At 35.7% G+C, this 26,175-nt stretch overlaps 1 protein-coding gene and 1 pseudogene across 66 annotated transcripts in view; one reads left to right on the top strand and one right to left on the bottom strand.

Annotated features, from left to right (window-relative positions):
* Positions 1-26,175, bottom strand: part of ANK2 (ankyrin 2) — a 678,115-nt gene that overhangs the window by 169,108 nt on the left and 482,832 nt on the right. For all 66 annotated transcript variants that reach the window (NM_001386186.2, NM_001386148.2, NM_001354269.3 and 63 more), the window contains 2 exons: positions 18,163-18,261; positions 15,520-15,618 (listed from right to left, as the gene is read on the bottom strand). In NM_001386186.2, the coding sequence (NP_001373115.1) occupies positions 15,520-15,618; positions 18,163-18,261 (198 nt within the window). The remainder of the gene's footprint in view (positions 1-15,519; positions 15,619-18,162; positions 18,262-26,175) is intronic.
* Positions 209-652, top strand: RPS26P25 (ribosomal protein S26 pseudogene 25; annotated as a pseudogene).

The following is a 26,175-nucleotide window of genomic DNA, read 5'->3' as shown; positions in this document are numbered from 1 at the left end:
CAGAATGATTCATGTCAACCTTTAGGCTGAAGAAAATATTAGTCAAATACCATGACAAAACAATTCTGTGATTCATGGTATTGAATATTATAAGCAACAGGCTCTTAATAAATTAATGAATGTAATAAATATTTTATTAATTGATTTGTAGATTTTTCCAGATTGTTTATTTAAATAATCATAACTTCTGTATAAAACAGCATTTTGGCTCCTCTCTCCGGTCCGTGCCTCCAAGATGACAAAGAAAAGAAGGAACAATGGTCGTGCCAAAAAGGGCCGCGGCCACGTGCAGCCTATTCGCTGCACTAACTGTGCCCGATGCGTGCCCAAGGACAAGGCCATTAAGAAATTCGTCATTCGAAACATAGTGGAGGCCGCAGCAGTCAGGGACATTTCTGAAGCGAGCGTCTTCGATGCCTATGTGCTTCCCAAGCTGTATGTGAAGCTACATTACTGTGTGAGTTGTGCAATTCACAGCAAAGTAGTCAGGAATCGATCTCGTGAAGCCCGCAAGGACCGAACACCCCCACCCCGATTTAGACCTGCGGGTGCTGCCCCACGTCCCCCACCAAAGCCCATGTAAGGAGCTGAGTTCTTAAAGACTGAAGACAGGCTATTCTCTGGAGAAAAATAAAATGGAAATTGTACTTAAAAAAAAAATAAAAAAAAAAAATAAATAAAACAGCATTTTGTCGTTTCTTTTTCCATTTATATTCATAGTTCTCTTTCTCTTTTCATTGCACTGGCTAGGGATTGATTGCAATGTCAAATAGTATCGCAAACAGGAATCCTTTTCTTGTTACTGCCTTTAATGAGAATACTGATGTTTGCAGTGGTTTTTGGAACGTTTCCTCTGCAAAGAACCTGATATTCCTAGTTGGATGCTTTTCAACAATTATTAACATTTAATCTATTGATCTATTTAATCTGGAATTAATTTTAAAATTTTAAAACTAGCCAACTAGGAATATCGGGCTGATTCCAGAGGGCATATTTGCAGATTAAAATTTAAATTAAATCAATGTAAATTATTTGCATATATTAATGAATCACTTGAATATTAAAATATTGAATCAAAGATTTATATTATAGGGGAACACTACACTGACCCATAAAAGTATGACCTATTAGCCCTTCTCAAGACTTATATTTGAGACAGCTGCCCACATAGTATTTGCCCAAATAGCAGGTGTTGCATGGAACTTTACATTTATAGAAACCTAGCCCATATAATCAAGAACATTAGATATCTTTTAAATAGCAGCTTAAAATTGGTTCTTCACATTTTTAAACTTGTGACTTTAGCTTCACTGATACTTTGTTCTAAGGTATATTATATTATAGACACTTCAAAAATCATTTTACTATTATGACACAAGCAAATGTAAACACAATACATTTTAGGTTTGTGATATTCCATTTAGAATTTTCCAGACTTAGAATTACCTTCTGAAAGTGATTTTCAAAAATAATATTTGGTTAAAACACATTTTGTTAGTTGGACTTCTATTTTCACCATCCAGACTATCTAAGATGAGAATCTTCATTCTTTTTCCCATTAGCTTGAAGCTTCAAGTCTCAGTAGGAGATCAATGTCTATACTATAAGTGTTTTAACAATTAAATTACTTAAGGGTCTTTAGGCATTGTGTTTAGGTGAATGCAATTTCATATACTCAAATTGACAGTGTTCTAAGGAGGTTGTGAAACAAGCCAGTCACACAAACTGACTTTGTTATGTTCTTCATTGTGCCAAGAAAAGGCAGCAGTGGGCATACAGAATGGCTGGTCTTGCATGGCTGCACTAGTGCTGAATTTGGTAACAATGACAGCTAACAGTCATTGAGCTCTTAGAATTGCCAGGCATTGTTCTAAATGCCGAACATGGATTAATCTCACAACAACTGTTTGCTGAAGGTACTGTTATTATGATCCCCCTATCACAGATGAGAACTCTGAGACACATTTACATGAGTAGAAAGCAGAATAGCTCATGAGTTACATGAGTAGAAAGCAGAAGAGCTGAAATTTGACCTCTGGGATTTGACCACCTAGCTTCAGAATTTGCGTTCTTATCCATTTCACTATGCTGCCTACCTCAGTCAATGTCAAAAGAGATCGCTGGCCATTTTAAAGTCTTAAAAACTTCTTCTTCATAGCTTTAAGAGTAGAAATAAAGAGTAGAAATAACCAGAGGATTCCAATTATTACACATAGATAGGTATTAATAGCTATAGCTAACTGTATTGTACATGCATTCAAATTTATATTTACCATGTTTAGTCAATTACTGGGCTTTGCATATCTTCCCAATTAAGAAAGGAAATAAACACTAAAGAATAATATCTGAAAAAAAGTTATTAGTAATTGCACCAAATATGAAAACTTTGAAAAAAATAAGATATAATACAGATTACAATTTTCATCTTTCAAGAATGATTATGTAATTAATCAAAGTTTGGGGTTTAAATCAAATCACTTTTGGTACATAGGCAGTTACCTAAACTCTCAGTTTCCTCTGTATAAAATGAAGAAAGCAATGCCTGACATCTATGCAAATTATGTATTAAGCTGTAATAAAATATTGTCAATAAATATTGTCACGCTTTTCAGGATTTTAGACATATATAACTGGAGAACTCCATTAAGGAGCAGTAAAGATGTAATTGTTTATAAAGCAAGATAATATAGCATAAAGAGAATTTAACTGTATAGAAAGGAACAAAAAAAATACTTCTGAGAAAGGCCATTGTACTTGAAAGTTGGGAATGGAGAATTAGGTTTGTTCTCCATATACTTTTGCATTGTTTTGATTGCTTAAAATAGAATATATTCATGTTACAAACATATGGAGTATTTAGCCAGATATCAGAAGACACAAATTTGGATGAGACACTTGACCCTGTGAATTTCAAATTCCTGTAATAAGTGTTATGGACACAATGTCTCTAATAGCCCCTTCCAGTTATACACTGAAGTGATTTAGTTAAGAGTATAATATGTGAAGAATGTAAGAGGCTCTCACACCCCCCAAGTAAAGCAAAATATTTGCATTTGTTTACGGAAAAGTTGTCTTCAAAATAGTTAAAACACTATCTACATTTTATTGCTTCCACAATTTTTGGTCAAAACACAATGCACAATGCTAACCTAGAAGGTTGAGATCTTTCTAAAAAAAACTTCAAGAAATAGGAAGAACACCAAAACATCCATCTTAGATGATGTTGTCTGTGGAGACTTACTCCAAAATGCAAGCTGTTTGATTATTAATCAATGGCACATTACGTGAAAGAAGGAAAAGAGCTGCCACCTCTCAAGCCTTTGCACCTGGTCCAATTGTCAAATGTTAGTGAGTTATGAACAAGAATGATGCACAAATTATCATTAGCTCGATACATTGTGCTCACATTGATGCAAGAATCCTTTCCTAGTCTGGCAGATTATAATTGTCTGTGAATAGAAGTTCCAAATCTCTGATCTGACTATCTTGATACAGTTGAATGTATAGAATTTGGTTTATTCTTCATCTCTCTTCTCCATCAGTTAAGTTACCAGGTTTCTATCAACAGTCCTTATAGATTTTGTTGAGCAATACTTATTTCCACTGCTCTCCTCTGCTTCTTTCTGATATTCTTTATTTGAGTGCAATATTCTTTATTTGAATGCAAATTTAGATTTGAATTATTTGAATGAATTTAGATTTCCTTGTCCTCTTATTCCTAAGAATCAATAAATCTAATAAATAGGGAGGGAAAGTAATTCAGGACCTAAAGAACCAACAAAAACTGATCTCGTGCTTCCCACAAAGGTAGTATAATAGCCTTCCCATGCTCATGAAGCTAACAATGAAAATAATAAATATAACAACAGCAACTAACGTAGAGTGCCCCTATATGCTAAGGATTGTGTTAAGCGTTTTACATAATTATTTCTTTCAACCCTCACAAAAACTCAATTTTATGTACTGTAATTATTCCTTACCTGTTTTACAGATAAGCAAATTGAAGCACAGAAATGGGAGATAACTTGTCCAAGGTCACAAGGCTAGTGAGTGATGGAAGCAGTACTTAAATCTAGTTTATCTGACTCTGGATTCTTGCTTCTAACCAGTGCTAAACTGAAGACAGTCCAGGTTTAAATCAAATGCTGATATCACTGGACTTGATTAGCTCTCATTTTAATTCTTCCAAGCCTGCTACTTTTTACTCATTTTATACTAAGGACCCAAAGTCCTCTGGTCAATTATTATAACTTTTTCAGTTTTTTTGACATATGCCTCAAATTTTCTTCATCTTATTTTCTTCAATGTGAAAATTGTCCCTAAAACATAAACCCTCTTCTATCTCTTGCTGGTAAAGGAAACCAAAATATTTTATCCCCAAAATAGAAGACAGAGCAGGGATCCCCTCTTAGGGACCTGCAGGCTCCCCAAGCATAGAAATAAAGGAAAATCTTGAGTTCCTTCAAGGGGAATTCCAGGCATGTAGCTAACCCTGAGAAGTAAATAAGAAACTTGATGAGCAAGAAGGTAATAGCAGCCAAGGAAGCTAGAATCACAAGATGTTTGGTTCCCCTATAGGCACAAAAGCTAACATCTTAACATATGTCTCTGAGTTCTGTCTCAGAAACCCAGACCCCCACCAAATAGATCTGCTGGCACAGAAGCCCCTGGTAAGGGGGAACGGAGGACTGAACTCTGGCCAACATTCTTTGTTTTACACTTCCTCCTGAGGGGCCTGAAAAAAGTCATGCCCATGAACCCAGGCTAACATTCTTTTCTGCTGACCCTACATTTTTAAACAAAGCTTCTCTTCCTTACCCAACTGCAAATCAGAAAATCTGTGACCTGTAAGTCCTCCGCTTCAAGATACTCTGACCTTTTAGGCCAAAACCAATGTGGAACCTCCATGTTTTGATTTACAATTTTGCCTGTAACTTCTGCTTTCTGAAATTTACCCCCGCCTTTAAAAATCTTTACCTGCAAGCCATCAGGGAGGTCAGGATTTAAGCATGAGCTGCCTGATCCTCCTTGTTAGGCACCCTGCCAATAAACACCTTCCTTTCTCCCGCTGAAAACCTTGGTGTGGATATCTGGTATTGCTATACAGGGCGAGTGGGCCCCAGTTTGGTTCGATAACAAATATTCTTCTTTGACATATTTTGAGATGGCCGTTCAGAGGGCCTACAAAAAGAAGTAGCCCTGCAAAGCTGTCCTGTGGGGGAGATTTGCATCTGTAGAGAATCTGCATTGATGCAGCCAGGCTTTCTCTGTGGGCCCTCCCTTGTCTGGATCTAGAAAAAGTGAACTGAGAGTCTGACATCTTCAAAGGTCTGAAAGAAACATTCACCATCTATTTTCTCCAAGGGCTACTACTACTGGTGAGGTTTCATCTATATAGCAAGACCTCCTTTGTTAGCTAGACCTCGCCTTCTCCCCCTCCCATAACTTGTTTTGCCATGCTCCAGGCCCCTATTCTTTCTGTATCCTCAAAATGGTATAAAAGTGTCAATCATCTGGCCATTTATTTGAGTTGTTATAGTTTTGTATGGCTCCCATGTATGTTAATCCATTTGTATTCCTTTTCTCCTATTAATCTGCCTTTCTGTTAGTTGATTTTTAGCCAGCCTTCAGAGGATGAAGGGGAAGTATGCCCTTTGCCTCTTCACTGTCTTTACTGCTCCGGCAGTCTCATTCGAGTCCACTGCTTTAATAACCATTTACATCAAATGATGTAATAACCACTTATATTTCTTTTAGGGATGTATAACAAGCAGTTCAAATGCTATTCATGATCTCTTACTCTCCTCACCAAAACCAAAAACAAAACCAGAAACAAAGTGGCTCATGCCTATAATCCCAGCACTTTGGGAGGTGGAGGTGGAAGGACTGCTTGAACCCAGGAGTTCAAGGCCAGTCTGGGCGAGATAGCAAGACCCTGTCTCTACAAAACATTTAAAAAATTAGTTCAGCATGTTGGTGCATGTTTGTAGTCCTAGCTACTCAGAAAGCTGAGGTAGGAGGGTTGCTTGAGCCTGGGAGTTTGAGACTGCAGTGAGCTATATCATGCCACTGCACTCCAGCTTGGGTGACAGAGTGAGATTCCATCTCAAAAAAAATAAAATAAAATAAACAAACAAATCTTTGTCTTTATGCACTGTTTTATATTATAGTGTTGCATTACCATCTATACTGTTAGGCAAGGGAGAGATCTATTGACACTATCGTCTTCCTCTCCTCCCATAGGCCATCATCATCAAGTGCTCTGAAACTGGTCCTTAATCAGTCTTATAACAGTCCCCTTTTCTCCATCATCCAGACCACTACTACTCCATTCCAAGCTAACATCACCTCTTATATGGAGTAGATCATGACAACGGTCTCCAAATGATTTGCTTTGCATTGCACCTGACTCCCTTCGACTTGTTCTCCAAGCTGCACCAGGGTCATGTTTTCAGAATCCAAAACAGAATCCTGAGCTTGTTCCACCCCCAAGCCAGCTTCATATTGGGCTTAGGATACAAGTCTTAGAACGAAAACCTTAATATGGCTCATAAAATCTTTCAGGATCTGACTTTCTTCCTCAGGCTTCATTTCATACACTGCATTTCCCCTGGATGTTTCAGCTTCCAGATAGCCCATTTCTTTTAGGTTCTTGCATGTATGATTGTATTTGCCCATAGCACACTTCATCCCCTGACCGCTGATGTGCGCATTAACACTTTCTTTTATAAAAGAAGTTCAGTTACCACTTCCTAGGTCTTCTTCCGCATGCCCCCTGCCCACCTCATCATTGTAGGCTTAGCAAGTGTTCGAGGGCACACACTGGATGCCCAAATACCTGCTGAGTGAGTGAGTGCGTGAATTATTACTTCCAATCAGTTTCTATTGGAAAGTTTAATTCGTGTCATGTTTTTACTTCTTCTTTTTTTTTTTTTTTTTTTTGCTTTGTGATCCTTGCCTCAAAGGATCACCATTTTGGTTCTTGATGGTTTCACCTAGCTTCTTAGTTGTTGTGGAATATACACATTAATGCTGTTAGATTTGAGGTAAGAAGCAGAATGCTACAGTACTATTTTAACCATTTACTACCAGAGTAGCTTATCTTTCATTTTAACTCAGAAGGGGAGAAAAAGAAGTAACTCTTATGTAAAATTTGAAGTCTATTTCTATTAACAGAACTTGGAGACCATTTACTTTTCTCCCTACAAGTCTTAACTGACTACAAATTTAGTTCCTTTAAAATGCAATAACATTGGACTTGGATAGGCCTGTGTAGTGATAAATAAATGAGACATCTACCGAAGATTTTAGATGTGATGATGTCTTCGATTATTCATTCAAATTTCAGAATAAAATGACAAGCAGGATTCAGCCTTTCCATACCATCTGTCCCCAGATAAATGAGCATAAAGGCAAAATATAATTGTATTAATTTTATTTCAAAAGTTGAAAAATTACTTTATTATAAATGAAAATATTATTGTCTTTTAGGATGTGGGAGTGTGTGTGTGTGTGTGCGTGTGCACGCTTTGTAGAGTAGTAATTTTAGTGTTGGCTTTTTACTGGAATAGAGAATAGTAATGTCTTTCTTGGCAATTTTTTTTTGAGATGGAGTCTCACTCTGTTGCCCAGGCTGGGGTGCAGTGCAGCGATCTCAGCTCACTGCAACCTCTGCCTCCCAGGTTCAAATGATTCCCCTGCCTCAGCCTCCTGAGTAGCTGGGGTTACAAGCACCCACCACCAAGCCCAGCTAATTTTTGTATTTTTAGTACAGATGCAGTTTCACCATGTTGGTCAGGCTGGTCTCGAACTCCTGACCTTAAGTGATCCACCCACCTCAGTCTCCCAAAGTGCTGGGATTACAGGCATGAGTCACCGCACCCAGCCTGGGCAAAACTTTAAAGACATCGATTCTCATCTTTTTCCCAAGCATATAGAGAACTGGAAAAAGCATATTTTCTTTAACTTGGAGTGCTGAGGAGCACAGATGCCCCTGCAAATTTGTAATCACCCAGTGGCCTGATTTTCAGAGTCAAAAACACAAGTGTCCTGACTTCTTTTTTATTCCTTGTCAAATGCAAGTACCTGCCTTCATTTGAATTTCAAAGGATTTGTATTACAGATAGTAATACTCCCAATGGAAAAAAAAACAAGACCCTTATTAAGAAAGATACACCATGGGATACTATGCAGCCATAAAAAGGAATAAGATCATGTCCTTTGCGGGAACATGGACGGAGCTGGAAGCTATTATTCTCAGCAAACTAACACATGAATAGAAAACTAAACATATGTTCCCACTTATAAGTGAGAGCTGAATAATGAGAATGCATGGACACAGGGAGGGGAACAACACACACTGGGGCCTGTCAGGGGGCAGGGGGAGAGAGAGCATCAGGAAAACTAACTAATGCATTTTGGGCTTAATACCTAGGTGATGGGTTAATAGGTGCAGCAAACCACCATGGCACATGTTTACCTGTGTAACAAACCTGCATGTTCTGCACATGTATCCTGGAACTTAAAATAAATTTAAATTAAATTTTAAAAAAGAGGAAAAAAGAACCATATGCATATATTTTGGGGGAAAACCCTGAAAATAAAACCTGTTTAAAAAAATCTGTGACTATAGATCCCACTTTATACACTGTGTGTGTATGTGTGTGTGTGCATATGTGTGCATCCATGTATGTGTGTGTCTCTGTGCATATGTCACAGAACAGAATGTTCCATTACAAGTTTTTGCTTTCAGAGCCAAGGATGGCTCTAAGACCATATGGAAGCAATTCAAGGTAATGGGCATGCTGACCAACTGTGTGTGTTTCCTTCCTCTTCACAGTTCAATTCCATTGTCTGTGACAATGGGTTAGGGCCAATGAAGAAAAAACTATTGGAAGCCACAACTGAAAAGACATTTATCATTGCATATAGTGGGTGCATGCACCCCCATAAATCTGGGGGTGTAACCAATGGTGATATAATCTTACAACTGGAATTAATAGTCGTGGTCTGTAGAAATCCAAAAGCTAATAAAATAATCACCTAATCATCCTTGAGTTATAAATAGGAAAGCCTTCTTTTGAAACAATATTTTCAGGATTGAAAGAAAAGAGTATTAATCACAAAACAGGCAAAAATAACCAATAAAAATGGAAATAAATTTTCAGTGAGATATCAAAAATGCCAAGTAAGAACATCTTATTTGAACTCACTTGATATTAAAATAAGATGAAAAGAAAACAAATCTGTTTCTAGAATCCTTATGAGAGGACAGAAACAAGAAATTCCAAGAACAAGTAGAAGAATGTAGAGACAGATAAGAAAAATGAATTGAAAAGGACATCACCAATTTCAGAAATTATATTTAAGTCTTTTTTTTTTTTTTTTTTTTTTGAGACGGAGTCTTGCTCTGTCGCCCAGACTGGAGTGCAGTGGCGTGATGTCGGCTCACTGCAAGCTCCGCCTCCCGGGTTCACGCCATTCTCCTGCCTCAGCCTCCCAAGTAGCTGGGACTACAGGAGCCCGCCACTACGCCCAGCTAATTTTTTTGTATTTTTAGTAGAGACGGGGTTTCACCGTGTTAGCCAGAATGGTCTCGATCTCCTGACCTCGTGATCCGCCCGTCTCGGCCTCCCAAAGTGCTGGGATTACAGGCGTGAGCCACTGCACCCGGCCAAGTCTTACACATGTTAAAAATTTTGTTTGATTGAAGAACAGTCTAAGAGGTGGATGGTTGTATGAAGCCCAGATTATGGATACGCCCTCCCAGTACACCTGAATCGCTTTACTCACTAGTTGCCTAGCTTTGCGGAAGGCTCTTAGTTATAGCAGCATCTAAGCGCCTAGGCAAGCAGGGTTTTGGACTTCCCTAATTCAAGTAGAAGGTGTACAACAGTTTAGTGGGAAAGACTGAGGTATGCCTAGGATTATTTGGAAGGAAGGTGTCCGTACCAATGACCACAGGTTTGTGGCTTCATCACTAATTGTTATGAGACTTTGGTTTTCCTACCTATGCCTCAAATTTTTCCATGTCCAAAATGAGACTATTCATTGTTGATTCACATAATTATAAATGAGATTAAATAAATAAAAATACAATTTAAAATTAAGGGTCTGAATGCAAGATATTATTACTGGGCTGTAGTTTAGTGACACTGGAATTTGCTCCAAGGCAGACTGACCGCCCCAGACACAAACTTCTTGAGGAGCCTCATGAGAACTTCTAGCCCTTCCCTTCTTCTATAAAAAAGTCATATTTTCCTAAAAGGAAGGGAAATTTACCATACCCATTCTCCAAAATTTTGCTTAGCTTCTCATGTTTGATGATGGTGTCTAGTCTAGGATCCAGTTTACCTTTTTTATCATGTAAAAATATACATTATATAAACCAATTTGCTTTGTAATAATAAAAAACATTTTTAAGACAATTTTGCTTTATTTAGAGTGCTCCTTCCGATTTTAATGATTTTATAATTAGAGAATATATTAATAATAAGTATCTAAAGAAAAAATTCTCTTATATGAGAACTAAAAATTATATTTTTTTTGTGGAGAAAATAATAAGGGGGAAATTCTAAAGCCAGATTTCCTTGGTGGTAACAGCAGAATATCCTTCATTTTTTGAACATTTTGCAGGACATTTATAGTTCATAAAAAATATTAAGTGAGAAATTCCATCTTAAACCTTTTACATGGATTCTACTTTAAGAAAATCAGCTTATTTGGACCTGAATAGGATTTGGGCTAGAAGAAAAAGGAATTTTAAAAATTATTCTTTGAGGTCTGTAGAGAAGGTAGAACTGTTACGGGAACTATGAGAAGCAATATTGCCTGGGGATGAAGATTATGGGCAAGTAAATGAGCCACCTGAGTCTCAATTTGTCATCAATAATGATAAAGTAAAGGAATATCAAAAGAGATAATGTACACAACACACTAGAGACAATGCCTGGCAGTCAATGTTATTACCTGTATTATTATTAATATTAATGTCTACTGTTAGGAGTTATTGGAATACACAACAAAGCTAAGACTTATACATAAAGAGTATACATGCATATATTCATCCTCCAATCATATATGTGCAAGGTATTATGCATAATCCTGAAACTATAAAGAAGTGTGAGAAAAAATTATCTGCTCCCAAGAAGTTTACCATCTTGGAGAAATTAAAGATGTATTTTTTTTTTTTTGCAATCAGAGATAGGCAAATATCAATAGGCAAAATGTCAACAAAGAGTGCTACAAGTATTTAAAGAAACTCATGATTTTGAGAATATTTTTTAAAAACTTTCTAAGTAGAGTTTCTTTGATAGCAATATAGAATTTGAAATTTGAACATTTTTTTAAAAGTAATGTCTCTGAGTCTAACAGACTTACAGGTTATAAAAGTGACCAAACAAATGTCCCATACAGCTTAAATGGAAATCATCCCAACATCACGTATGTAGGATTATTTAGAGGATAAGATGCCTACTAAAGATCTTCTGCAAGTGACTTTGTTTTCAGAAAGCAAAAAATCATCTTCAAAGCAAATAACATTCCTCAACTCTATGATTTTGACTTCTAACTCCATAATTCCGGCACCATGGATGAGACCTCCATGTCACTGAATCTAGGATACCAAAGAACCAAGCCAGAGAGCTACATGGTCAGGGGCAATACTTAAAATCACACCAAGAACTGGCTCAGCAGAGACCACACTGATACCACTGTTGAACAAAGAAACAAAAATAAACATTTGTTCATTGTTACTAAATCAATTACACTATACCATTTAAAGTACTGAAGTTGATCCAGCTGGTGTTCTGGAACTCTTAATGAACCAAGGACACTCTCTACCAAAATTGGTACTGTATCATGTGGCGGTAAGCCTCACATGAATCTCATACTTTATATGCAAAATGCAGAAAAATCCGTAAGTGTGTATTTCCCCATAACCTATAATTCCAAAAATTTTACTGAATATATTCCTTGAAGGTTTTTTCAGAAAATTTGTTATCTTCTTAATTCAAAAATAACTTTAGCAGTCTGTTTGCAAATAACTCGGAAGTTTGCCAAAGGCATAGTACTAGGCAGCTGCCAATGTTCCTATAATTTCAGACTATTCTGCATTTCAGTGGTTTAAATTATGTTCTTAGAAAGATGTGGAAGAAGGTATCACTTGAATACAAAATTCAGACATTTTGTTGTACATTCAGGATTCCCTACGTCCTTTTTCTGGTTCTCAAAAGGAAGAGATTGTTTAACTGCCATAAGCAAGTCTCCCATCCATCCACTTGACACCCCATATTGTCACATAAAGAATCCTGTATCTTACATAAGACAGTACTGAGGGAAATAACATCTGTGGAGGAACTCAAATCAGCCCTCAGTGGCTCTGAAACCATCAGTTTTGGGATTGGCTCACACACAGGGGGTAAAATAATCAACCCTCATGTATTTTAATTTTAATCATTATATTATAAAATATTCTAAGTAATAATACTTTTTTTCAACTATTAATGATGGGTACATAAATTCAATACAGGAAATAATGTCATAGGCCTTATCAAAAGACTTAGAAAAACATTTAGAAAAGATTCTAAAATTTGATTACTAGTTTTTCTTCCTCTAAAACTTTCGCACAATATGAATGTTAGTTTGAAGCTATTTGTCAGAATCCCCTGCAATATAAATCTTAAATTGACCTAATAGTATAAATTACAAATAGGATTATTTTAACGTCTTAATAATGATACAACCCTTCTTTTAAGATCTGTTATAATTTGGCATGATTATACCTTATAAATAAAAGCCTCTGACTCTGAAAGCGAGTTAATGATTAAATGGTTTTAGCTTGTTCTCCGTGAGAAGCCTCCAAAGCATATACATTTCCAATAACTACTGTGTAATAACTGGTATCACAGCTTTAACAAGCATTTACCTTGCAGCATTTGCTACTAGTCAACTTTTATAACAACACTATGTTTGTCATTTTGAGGAAAGTAAAATATGGTCTTTTCACAGATTTTAACAGCACCAATGTATAGGTGAATTTCCTGTCAAAGTCAGGAGAACCTCCACTGAACAATTGAATTTAACCAGGCTTTCATTTTCATGATGTATAAGTACATTATTGATTCAGTCATGTAGTTGAATCTATACCTTGTGAATCTTACTGCAATATCTTACACCCAGTTTCCCCTCACATTTGCTAAAGCCATAGTTCAGAAATGTGGTCCCTGGACTAGTAGCATTAGCATCATCTGAGAACTTGTAAAAAATGAAAATTGCCCAGCTCCACTCCAGAACTGAATCAGAAACCCTGGGGAGGAGCCTAGAAACATGGGTTTCAACAAGCCGTGCAGGTGGTTATGATGCAGACTAAAGTTTGAAAACCTCTGTCTAAAGCAAAAAGATGTTCTCTTGATATAAAGAAAGGTTTTCCAGCATTGGGATAGCTCAAAAAACTAAAAACGTAACTACCATTAGACCCAGCAATCCCCCTACTGCTTTGGGTAAATACCCAAAGCAATACCACTTTGGGTATTTACCCAAAGGAAAAGAAATCGTTACGTCAAAACGACACCTTCACTCTTTTGTTTATTATTATTATACTTTAAGTTCTAGGATATATGTGCACAACATGCAGGTTTGTTACATGGGTGTACATGTACCATATTGGTTTGCTGCACCCATCAACCCGTCATCTACATTAGGTATTTCCCCTAATACTATCCCTCCCCTAGCCCCCCACCCCCTGACAGGCCCCGGCGTGTGATGTTCCCCGCCTTGTGTCCATGTGTTCTCATTGTTCAATTCCCACCTATGAGTGAGAACATGCGACACCTGCACCCTTATGTTTATTGCAGCATTATTCACAATAGCAAAGTCATGGAATCAACCTAAGTGTTCATCAATGGTTGACGGGATAAAGAAAATGTGGTACATATACACCATGGAATGCTAGGCAGCTATAAAAGAGAATGAAATTACATCCTTTGCAGCAACATGGATGGAGCTGGGGGCCATTATCCTACATGAAATAACTCAGAAACAGAAAGTCAAATACAGCATGTTCTCATTTAGAAGTGAGAGCTAAACAATGAGTTCACATGGACATAAAGATGGAAATAATAGATACTAGGGACTCTAAAAGTGGGGAGGGGGAGAAGGGACTGAAGGTTGAAAAATTACCTATTGGGTACAATGTTCACTATTTGATTACATAATATACCCATGTAACAAACGTGCACATGTACCCCTTGAATCTAAGTAAAATAAAGTTTGAAAAAGAAAAGTTTTGAATCACTTAGGTGGAGCAGTAGCTTCTGCAGGGACCTTTCTCTCCAAGCCTAAAATGCTGTTATACTTTATAAAATATACAGATGTTCTTTACAGATGGTACCAAATTATAAAAATTTCATCTAATAAGGGTTTTAGACTAAGGCATATTCTCAATACATATTAAAACATTGATGTGCATCCAACTGAAGGTTTGAGTTGTAAGGAAAAAAACATGACTAATTAAAATAGCATGATATTACAAAGATAAAAATAATGTCTTATCTATCATAATTTCAACAGATTTTTCCCAAAATTAAAATCAAAGAAAATAGGGCTGATTTAACCATTGCCTTTTGTATTTTCTAGGTCCAGAACTTGTGCCATCTATAGAACTAGAGCCATGCCTAGGTAATTAATGAATGAACTATACAGTTAATACATATTCCTACACAATGGCCTTCAAAGGCAACCTGGTGAGGTTATCCCAAAGAATAGATGGAACAGAGCTGGCTTATTTTGCTAATATCCTCCATGATATAGTCTGTGTTATCAGAAAGGCAAAGGAGAAAACCCTAAAAATAGAGAGAATGAATTTTATTATAAAGATATATTTCTCAATCCCCACATGCGTACATGATATAATAGATATCAAGAGTAAAGCTTTGGGCAAAACAACATTTTCTCCCCTTTTCCACCAGAAAAAAAAAGGGATCAAGCTTATAGTATAATTTTGATTAAATAATTATTGTTTAATTTTTTCTTAATTTCATTTTAAAACCATACATTTCCTATTTATTATTAGTAAAGCTCACATTAGGGGTGTAAACTGACCAAAGTAGTGTTATTCCCACCTTATGGCAGATTTTCCACTGGAATGTAAATCTTTCAAGTATATTTTAAATTTACGGAAAGAGAATACTTTTATAGAGTAACACGAAACTTGCATGAATAATTCATATTTCACAGATGTCACTGTCATTCTGAAAAAAATCACTTTATATTCTTTTGAAAAATACTTAGAGACAATGATAGACTTACATTTTTCCAGTGTTAAGTTACATTAAAAGGGAGATTATATGTTGAAAAAATAAGCTTCATCATAAAGGTTAATAAAATTATTTGGCTAAAATAAATAACAAAGCACTTATAATAAATTTATCAGTAGAACAGCTAGCTAAACACATTAAATCAATTTCACAAAACTGTTCTAATTTAAATGTATGTACATCAGGGAAAATCTGAATGGAATACCTGAGACTGTGCATTAATATTGGCTCCTTCCTTAACAAGAACTTTGACAACTTCTGCTTGTCCAGCCAAAGATGCAATGTGAAGAGCGGTATTTCCCTTCTGTTTTGGAGAAACAAAATAGAAAATGTTCAAGGTTTCTGAATTTTGCAGAAATCAAAATGTGCAGGCATTTTTCAACTTCACTAATCACTTTAACCGATTAAAATTTGTTATTTATCAAGATAGTAGCCCACTTACGAAGAGATTATTTTTTACCATCAAAAAAAAAAATTGGCCACCTCATATAGTGTCTTCCTTTTCTATTTTCACAATATTGGTTTAGTGTTAACACGGAATGACTGTATTTTCAATGAATCAAAAATTTGTGGGGGGTGTGTGTATGTGTCAATATCTCATGAGATTCATGCAATTTAATTAACAACTAAAGAATCCTATTGCAAAGAAATATTAACTAAAAAAAGGTTTACTGAAACATTGAGTTTCTTTCACCTTGCAAAGAAACCTAGGAATTTTTAGTGGTAGAGAAACGAGCTGCTTATAGTTATGTTTGCAGCTACTGGGGCACTTGAGAATATGTTGGGAATAAGAAAAATAAATTTTACATAAATCATAACAGTACCAATGATTTTCTACCATTTGCTACATCAAAATTTACCAGCCACAACACTAACACCAATGAAAAATAATTTAAACCTTTTGTGAAAATAAAGGCCAAGAGATTAAAAATACCTATGATGTGATTAAAATAAATAACAAAAAGAAAAAAAAACCAGAAACCAGTAGATTCCAAGCCATAAAGTTTGGACTCTAGTTCTCTTTCTGTCTCCAGCTCACTGTGGGAGCATTAGCCACTCACTTAATATTTGGGGGCTTCAGTTTTTTTCTGTTTAAGTGAGATTCTTTTCCAGGAAATTCTACAATTCTATGATTAAAAGTAAGCCTAATTTTTAAAATATCAACAGAGTTTAGAAGAAAAGAAAAACAAAAATAGTAATAAACACTTAAGCAGGCAAAAATAATTGGCTTAATGAATACACTATATTAACATGGGCAACTATACACCATCTCATACCAGTCAGAATGGCTATTACTAAAAAGACAAAAAATAATAGATGGTGGGGTTGTACAGTGGCAGCCTCAAACTCCTAGGCTCCTGTGAGTGCTCCTCTTGCTACAGCCTCCAAAGTAGCTGGGATTACAGATGTGAGCCAGCACACTGGGCTTCAAATAGATATTCTTTAAATATTTGTTTAAAATGTATTTGATGTGCCAGAGAGAAATGCTTATAAAAATGTTTACTCCCTCTTTATGTTCGAAGTAAGAAATTTATTGCATATAGTGAATTCACATGTTTACTTCTGTGGAATTGCCAGTTGTTAGTTTGTTTTGTTTTTTAATTTCTGCTAGAATTGCTGTTTACTATACTACAAGCAGAACCAATGCACATTTTGTCAATTATGCATGAGGCATTGGAAATCCACGTTAACTGGCCATGTTTTTAATTTATTCTTGTACTTTTTTGTTTGTTTGTTTACTCCAGATTAGACTAGTGTCCCATCTAGAGACCAGAGTGCCTGACTTCTCTCTCTACATCTTCCACAGCCATATTATCACATTCAAGGCTTGGTCAGCAGACTTGGCTCTGATTAGCACTGTATTTTTCCAAATAAAATTTTACCTTCCAAAGGCAAAGATTGTTGCCATTCATAATAGTTTTTTAAATGTCTGTTGTTTATGAAATGAATCCTCGACAAGTTCAAATATGTTTTAGCAAAAGCAGCATCAAGGAACAGTTTCTGGTTTGCCAAGCGTCCCGTGCATTTCTTTTAAAATGAGTCCAATTTCCTTACCAAACACATTATGATGATAAAATCTAATATTGCCCTAACAATTCAATCCATGACCCAAAATCTCTTTTCTTATTAGAGTATAAACGATTCTGCATAGTCTCATACCAAACTGAATGTATACATTTAAAATTACTTGTTCTTTTCCATAGAGAAGTTTCCCACATGGGTTTATTTTTAAACAATGAGTTAACCGTAGGAAAACAGGTGCTATTGTCTACAAAGGATTATGTTAATCTCATCCTCTGTGAATCGAAGGGGGAAAGATAAAATTTTATAAACTAGGTTTACAGATTTTTCAGACTGATGTCCCATAAGTCCTTAAATGAAACAATTCACTCTGCAGAGTTTAATGGAGGGGGTTTTAATTTTAATTCTGCAGGTTAAGAATCTTGGTGTTCTAGCCAACCTCTGAAATGTACGAGAGGGAAAAGAAGCTTTAAGTGGGTGAGGTGTGGTGGTTCACGCCTATAATCCCAGCACTTTGGGAGGCTGAGGCAGGAGGATCGCTAGAGCCCAGGAAGGCAACATAGCAAGACCTCATTTATACTAAAAAAATTTTTTTTAATTAGCTGGGCATGGTGGCGCACGCCTGTAGTCTCAGCTACTCAGGCAGCTGAGTTGGGAGGGTCACTTGAGCCCAGGAGGTGGAGGTTTCGGTGAGCCGTGATTGTACCACTGCACTACTTCCTGGGCAACAGAAAGAGACCTTGTCTAAAAAATAAATAAAAATGAAAAGCTTTAAATTATTTTCGCTTTTCTAAGGAAAAAAATGTTCTACCAACATAAATGTTACCTTAGTGGCAGAATCCACAGAGGACCCTCTTCCCAGCAGCTCCTGCACCAGCCCCACGTGGCCTTCCTTGGCAGCCAGATGGAGAGCGTTGAGTCCATTCTGAGAGAAGAAACAAACAAGGCTTTAAGAAGTGAAGTAATGAGGAAAATAGTGCCCTGATCCTACTCAAGCATATAACCCAGAGAACAGACAGACTCTGATCTCTTCTTTTTTTTCCTTTTTGCATTAGAATCTTGAATCTATTAATTTAAGAGAGACTAATTTCAGTGTTTTTGATTCAGAGAGGCAATAAGGTAAGTATTCATTAGAAACATGGATTTTGGCAACTTCATTTCAACAGTTTTTTTAAACGAAGAAATCTCTAAATTTTTTAAATGACTTAAAGAGAACAATTTTATACCATTTATTGTACTGGCACAAAATAAAATTCTGTACACTTTCTGGGACATGTACAGCTTTATATTTTTTCAGTCCTTTTGTATCTCAAAGCAGCACTCTGCTAAGCGCTTTTCACACTTACGAAGATGTACTCCCCACCTCCTGGGATTTACAGACAACAGTTATACCTTGATTAATATTATAACTAACTCACTCCAACTAGCTACTCAGTGACTCAAAATACTGACCAACAATTTGGAAAAAACTTAGAAGAAAATTAATATGATTTTAAAAATCAAGAACAAATTTTCAAGAGGAAAATATTAATTCAACCTGAAAAATAGAATAAATATTAGTTTCTTCATCTTCAAAACAAGGATTAAAGTCTTCAACTGACACAGTAGTAAGGCTTAAACAGAGCAATGGAAATAAAGTGACAGTTTAGCAGCTGGTACATGGTGCCAATTATTAGCTTCCATAGCCCACTTGTCTTATACAGACGGTATTCTAATATTGATACTGAATAATTTAACATTTTTCACATGCAAATTGAAATACACTGTTTTACACATATCATATAGACCCAAGTAATGCTACAAAATGTTATTTCATAAATAATCTCAGAAGCTAATCATAAATGTTTTTGGATTTTGAAATGGAATATAGAAATTATTTACATTATGTAGATTGTTATAGAAGAGTACTTATCTAAGAATGACTGTGAGTCATACTCAGAATGTAAAAAAAGAAAAAGTTGTACTAAATATGAAGGTTATAGAAACTGTCCTTCTTACACTGTGACATTTAATAGTAATAATAATAATATTTCATTGTTAATTCCTGACCACCGAATTGAAATCAGTCAATAAAATGATCTTATTATGATGCTAGAGTCAGAGAACAAAGACAATCTTGATATTCTTGATAGGGTCTCCAAATTTAGAGGCAAAAGACATGACAATGATATGTAATATGATCAGATTTATAGTTCAGAGATGTGCTATCTAACAGTCTTCTACTGAAATGTAAATTTATGAGGGAATAATTTTAACATTATAATTTGGGGAAGCTGCATCAAGGTATAGATTCACTGCCAGCAATGTTCTACATATCTATCAGTTTCACTGTGTCAGGTTATAGTTTCACTGTGTCAGGTTATATTTCTAGCAATGATTTAAATATCTCTCAATTTTATATATACTGCATACCAAATGGGAAACAACTAAAGCAGGATACTATTGATAAGTCATTGATACTGACTTTATGTAAGTTAATTTTGATAAAATAATATGTACTTAGTTTTTTGAAACAATCAGCAAATATTTATTGAGCTCTTATTGTGAGCAAGATATTGGGCTTTGCAGATCTGTGAGTTCCAGACATGATATCATCTTTGATACCACAACTTCAGAATAATGCTATTTCTATATAATACCATTAAAATGGCTAAAAATATCAGGTAGATTTTAAAAAAAGATGGTAATGCTACACTGAAACAACCATGTGCACATTAATCAATCCTAAAAAACAAAGTTATCTTTTTTGTTCAGCACTTCTATCAAATTTTATAAAGCAATATTTTAACATTTTGTTCATAATCAGATTTATAATAAGCTCTGTTCACTACTTCTCTTGCTGATTTTATGAAATACTTTCCCCATTGACTGCCTTTCTGTGATCATATAAAGCTAGTGGATGACCCCAGGTAGAACAGATAGCCAATAAAAATTTTCATGGAACCATTTGAGTGTTTCTGACATATACAGAAAAACCACAGAGGAGTCCATTTGGAAAAGTTGAGGAACAGATTCAAGAAGATATGGCTAAACTTACATGAAGGTTAAATGTTTGCATCATCATCCATCAAACTGTTTTTCACCTTATTATAAATTCATAATTAATACAAATTTATTTGTTAATCCATAAGCATTTGCTAGGTACCCACTAAGTGCTCAGCTCTCAGTGCTAGGTTCTAAGGGAGAAGTAAAGGACACATTATGTAATTTTTGTCCCGATAAATATTTGGCCCCCAAATACTTATTATTAAACAACTGAAAATCAACTACACAGTAGCATATATTGTCAATGATTTAATTTTCAGATCTCTGTCTGCCCTGCTTTGCATACGGCACATGTTGAATGAAGAGTTTCACAGTCTGTCTTTTGCATATCAGAAAAGTACAACTAACTTATATAACATCTTTAATTGTATGAAAATGTAAATATTTTGGAGAAGGCAATTAAAATATATGAGTTCTTGAAAGTTTTTGAAAGAGGTTAGAAGAAAGAGATAGAGAGAAAATGGGCACATCCAAAGGCAGTAATTGTGAAGGAAAGTGCAACTTGTCCTCTCAGTCCTCACCACCACTCTGAATGGACTTCAGTGTCAAGATTCCCCCAAGCCAAGAACTCTTCTCAAGATGAAATACGTGCCATAAATGTAGATACAAATAGATGTGAAATATTACTGCAGTTTCACTGTGCCATTAATATAAATGACATTGGCAAAAGAAATAATCTATACAATGAAGAAAAAATCCAATTAAAAATGAAAATGACACATTTACATGTTCTCTATCCCTTCTCAGTCCTTACGCCCATATATCTTTTATCTGCACTTTTCCCTTCTCTTCCACAGCGGCTTCTCTAAACCAAGGGTACTTATTCACTGCGGTGGGATTAAGGATTTAGTTTTTTATGAAGATCAGGAAAAGCAAAGCACACAATGCGCCATCTTTGTCAGACACATTTAACTGAACTGACTGTGTCCTTGGCTGGTCTCCACAGGTTTCTGATTTAACAAAGTAAATCAAACTATAGGTGATCCAAGAGTATATCTGTTTTATTAGTTATTCTCAGATCTTCAAGGGTTTCTTTTAAATTCCCAAATGATAATTTAATGTGGTATTTACTAAGCCTTCATTAACTTAAAAATATTTACAATGAGATCTGGAATTTGGCTGTTCAGGTTATCGATTATTTCATAGTGAAAAAGGGCTAGAATAAGAATACTTTGAAGATGTCACTCTATATAGTCCACACCAGGATCTCCACTTCATCCATAGCGGAGTCCCGTCTAGCGCCCCGGATGGTAGCTCCCTTTTTGGCCACTGATCTTTTCTCCCTGTCTAGCCCCATCAAGGGTTGTTTTTTTTTTTTTTTTTAAATAATGCAATCCCTAAAATATAGAGAATGACACTGAATATGGTAGTGCATTTGCCTGGGAGAAGAAAAAACTGTAAAAATTGGTCTTCGGAATCTTACTAAAATCAAGAAAAATGAAGAGGTTATGAGTGCTGAGAAATAAATATTTGATGAATGAAAGAATAAGAAATGTTAATGACATAGGAATCACTATTATATTTTACATTTTACATATATTATATTACAGCATATTTTATTATGCTTTACAGATGATGACACTAAAATTCTCAGAAGTCAAGTGATTTGCCTCAAAGATCACTACCACTTATAAGAGGAAGAGCAAAAAATCCAAACTCAGATCTATCTGATTTCCAGACCCATGCTTTTTTATTTAAAATAATTAAATGCTAAACCAGTATTTCAGACTGTAGGTCACGATGCATAAACGGGTCATAAATTCAATCTAATGGACTGCTAATCAGCATGGTTCAAATCATGAAGTAGCATAAAGAAAGACAGAGTGCACTGTGGGTGGACTCTGTTGATTTTGAGGGGTTTTGGTGAAACTTTTTATACACACGTCTGTGTGTGTGTGCACATGCAGGCATGCTCTGGATTGCAAAAAAGAAGTTTAGTCAAGACCTGAGACAGGAGGTCATCTTGGGGAAGTTAGATGTCCTTTTAGATCAAATAAATAAAACATTGGCACTCACAAAAATCACTTTAAGGGAGGATAATGGACATTTAGAAATGGTTTTGTTGGACCTGGATGACAGGTTGATAGATGCGGCAAACCACCATAGCACACGTATACCTACGTAACAAACCGGCACATTCAGCACATGTATCCCAGAACTTAAAGTAAAATTTTTTAAAAAAGAAAAGAAATGGTTTTGTTGGTAGACTTATTTGAGTTTTCTGAACTTAATTTTCATTTTAGATGGGTGTTGTGATGCAAATAAAAGGACTGACAATGGGATGAAGCAGAATTCTTCATTTTGAGAATATTGGCTAAATCGTGTCCACATTTGGGGTTCTGAGAGGGACGGTGGCAGAGTGAAGAACACGGGCACAGGGCAAAAGGAAATCTGAGCTCCCGTGCTGTCTCTCCAGTCCTAAACAATAGGATTTAAGGTTTCTTCAATAGTAAAAAAGGGAAATGTCCTACTTTGCCTACCTCAGATAGTTATTTAAGAGTATCAAACAATGTAGGTTAATTCTGTTTGTAATTTGTGAAGTAAAAAACAAATGTAAGGTATTATTATTTCCCAGTTACATGCAAACAGTAATACATGTATATATTCCTGCTCTCCCCATCCACAGCCCTGCCAATGTTCCATCACTAAGATTTGGCTAAATGTGATGAGATGAATTGAGCATTTTTGAGTTCAACATACGTTTACGTAGGCTAGCAAAAGTATTAACGTATGCAAAAGTGATGTATTTTTTTAAGTATTTTGAATTACAATAAAACCTAGGAAGTAGATGGGTAAAAGGAGCTTGGTTTATTAGTAGTCACCCTTGTCAATAATTTAAAGAGTTGCAATTTTACTACTGAACATTTCAACTCTATTTATTTATTTATTCATTTAATTTTTTGAGATGGAATTTTGCTCTTGTTGTCCAGGTTGGAATGCAGTGGTGCAATCTCAACTCATCGTGCAACCTCCGCCTCCCAGGTTCAAGCGATTCTCCTGCCTCCGTCTCCCGAGTAGTTGGTATTACAGGCACATGCCACCACACCTGGCTAATTTTTTTGGTATTTTTAGTAGAGACGGGGTTTCACCCTGTTGGCCAGGATGGTCTCAAACTCCTGACCTCAGGTGATCCTCCCACCTCGGCCTCCCAAAGTGCTGGGATTATAGGCGTGAACCACCATACCCAGCCTCAACTCTCCTATGTAAATGCCATTTTCATGTGGTCTCTCATTTCTTTGGTTAAATTAATTTTTATAAGATTACATAGGTAAATTATTTCTTTAGTAGTTGGCTTAACATGTATAAGAAGAAAACATTTCTATAAGGCTCAAAGAAGAAAAATTATCTGAACTACTTATTATAATAGTCATGGTTTAAAGGAATGTAAAAATTAAATTTAAAAGTGAGTGGCAAATCATTTAAATAATAGCTAAAATGTATCAGAGTTTATTCTTCTGTGTCAGGTTCTGTTCTAAGTGCTTAATTGCATTAATTCATATAATCCTGAACTGAACATTCTGAGTTATCAACTACCTGGTGATTCTGGCTCAGAAACTGCACTTTTAAACCTCCTCCCCTTTTCACCTCCCTGGCCTCCGTAACACAAAAACCAATGGCCTCTGCATCATAATCCTATTTTATTTTCTTTAGACCTCAACTTCTCATTAGCTCTATTTTTTAATAGAAAATATCTCAGTCTCTAAAAATTATTTCTTTTAGGTTTGTAGATATTTAATGTCCAAATACATCAAAATTAGAAAAAAAAAAACATTAAAATGAATTGTAGAATGTTATGGTGTCAAATGCATGCCAAGCTCAGCATTTAAAAGTGAATTCTAGGCAGGCACAGTGGCTCACGCTTATAATCCGAGCACTTTGGGAGGCCGAGGCGGGAGGATTGCTTGAGCCCAGCAGTTCAAGACCAGCCTTGGCAACATAGAGAGCCCTGTCTCTACAAAAAATGAAAACTAAAAAATTAGCCTGACTCAGTGGTGTGCACCTGTAATCTCAGCTACTTGGGAAGCTGAGGCTGCACTCCAGCCTGGGTGACAGAGCAAACCCCTTGCCTCAAAATAAGTAAATAAATAGATAAATAAATAAATAAAAGTAAATGCTAAGTAAAAATGGAGCAAAGGGTTTAGAATGGTTTCTCCCTTAAGTTTTTTTTTACAGTAACAAAATTCTGTGTTTCTAAGATCAGATGACAAGTAATAACAAAATTCTGTGTTTCTAAGATCAGATGACAAGTAATAAGAGTATAATTTCTAGAAGTTTTTAAAGATACAATCCAAAAGACTAGGTCTTAGTTCTGCATGTTTATCACTGACTCATTTAACATTTCAATGAACCCATCTTAAAAGAGGGCATTAAAAACCTGAACTTTCTCCTACTGACATAGAATTTATCAAGGTTGGCAAGCAGGGGAAGGAGTATGTACCATGAAACAAGAGAATTCTCTAGTGAGACAGCCAGAAGTGGAGATGCCTCCAGGCACCAACGGTGACATCGGAATTGAGAAGAAAGAGGTGGCAGGACCTCGAAGGAAAGGAAGCAAAAAGGGAGGCTAGAACTAAAGAAATTCCACAGCAGATTCCAGTGTGTGCCCTATCCTCCTGCTTCTAATGAGGCACAAGTAAAGAAATATTTTTGAACAAAATACTAAACTCGGATAAAACATGATACAGAGTTTTCAAATTAATAGACTAGGGATAGCTTAAATTCAATAAATAGTAACTAAATTCAAGTATTCACATACTAAAACATTTGTTGACTATTTATTGTTTGCTAAACATTGTGCTAGAAACCAAGTCTATATTTCAAGGTATCAATATAAAAGTTTGGTAATATTATTAGAGCATTACAATGACTTCCGATCTTCTCCACATTTTTTATAATTTTAATTAAAAATAAGCCAAATTTGGCATGCTGGACTCTGTGGGAAGAGAGAGGAGGGAGCATTAGACAATAAAAGCTTTGAAGAGTCTTCTAAATAACACCCTGGTACTCTGTTTTCCATCATTATAAAATAATTCCTATAAATGGTGTTTGGTATCAATTTCAGGTATGTCTGAGACACACAAGCTGGCTTAGTCACTTTCTCCTCTGAGCAATCATAAAATTTGGTTCTTTTAACCAATTTATTGTATTTGTGTGTTTCCTGTTTATCTTCCCAACAAGGCTTCTTTTTCATGAGAAATGGTCAAATTTTATTAATACTGGTAACCTCTACACCTAATATAGTACCTGGCACAAAAAAGGTGCACTTCAATAATGTTTGTACAATAAATGGGCTAATTAATAATGTGTACAGTATGAAGGTAAATAGGAGTTTGCTTAATTCACCCAGGTACTCTACATTTTGTCAGCAAATGCAAGTCAGTGCATGAACAAGTCAGGTATAAATATATCCATCTTTGGAAACAAAATCAGGAGACATTCACTCTCTGAGGCCCAAATTGGTTACCATTAACACATACAAGGGGAAACTAGATTCTGAAGGAAGGACTTAATTTAAATAGCCTTTGTTATTAAGGATCTCAGAGTTCTATGACAATTTTTAAATTTTACATGTTTATTTTAGTGCCAATCTGAAACACATTAATAGAAGCATATTCTGGGTCATCTGGATAATCATATTTAATTAACATTTAGTAATTTTTTGTTCTTGATCATGCTTCTGATTGTGTTTATTTCAAGGAATCACTTAAAGGGAACATTCAAATTTTGATGCAGGTTTTCTCAAACTGAGGCACACAGATGTATTTTCTTAGGGGACCAAAAGAAGTTTCCCCCT

This window comes from Homo sapiens, chromosome 4 (assembly GCF_000001405.40).
Source record: "Homo sapiens chromosome 4, GRCh38.p14 Primary Assembly".
NCBI lineage: Eukaryota > Metazoa > Chordata > Mammalia > Primates > Hominidae > Homo > Homo sapiens.
This window is presented reverse-complemented; position numbering and strand designations above follow the sequence as displayed.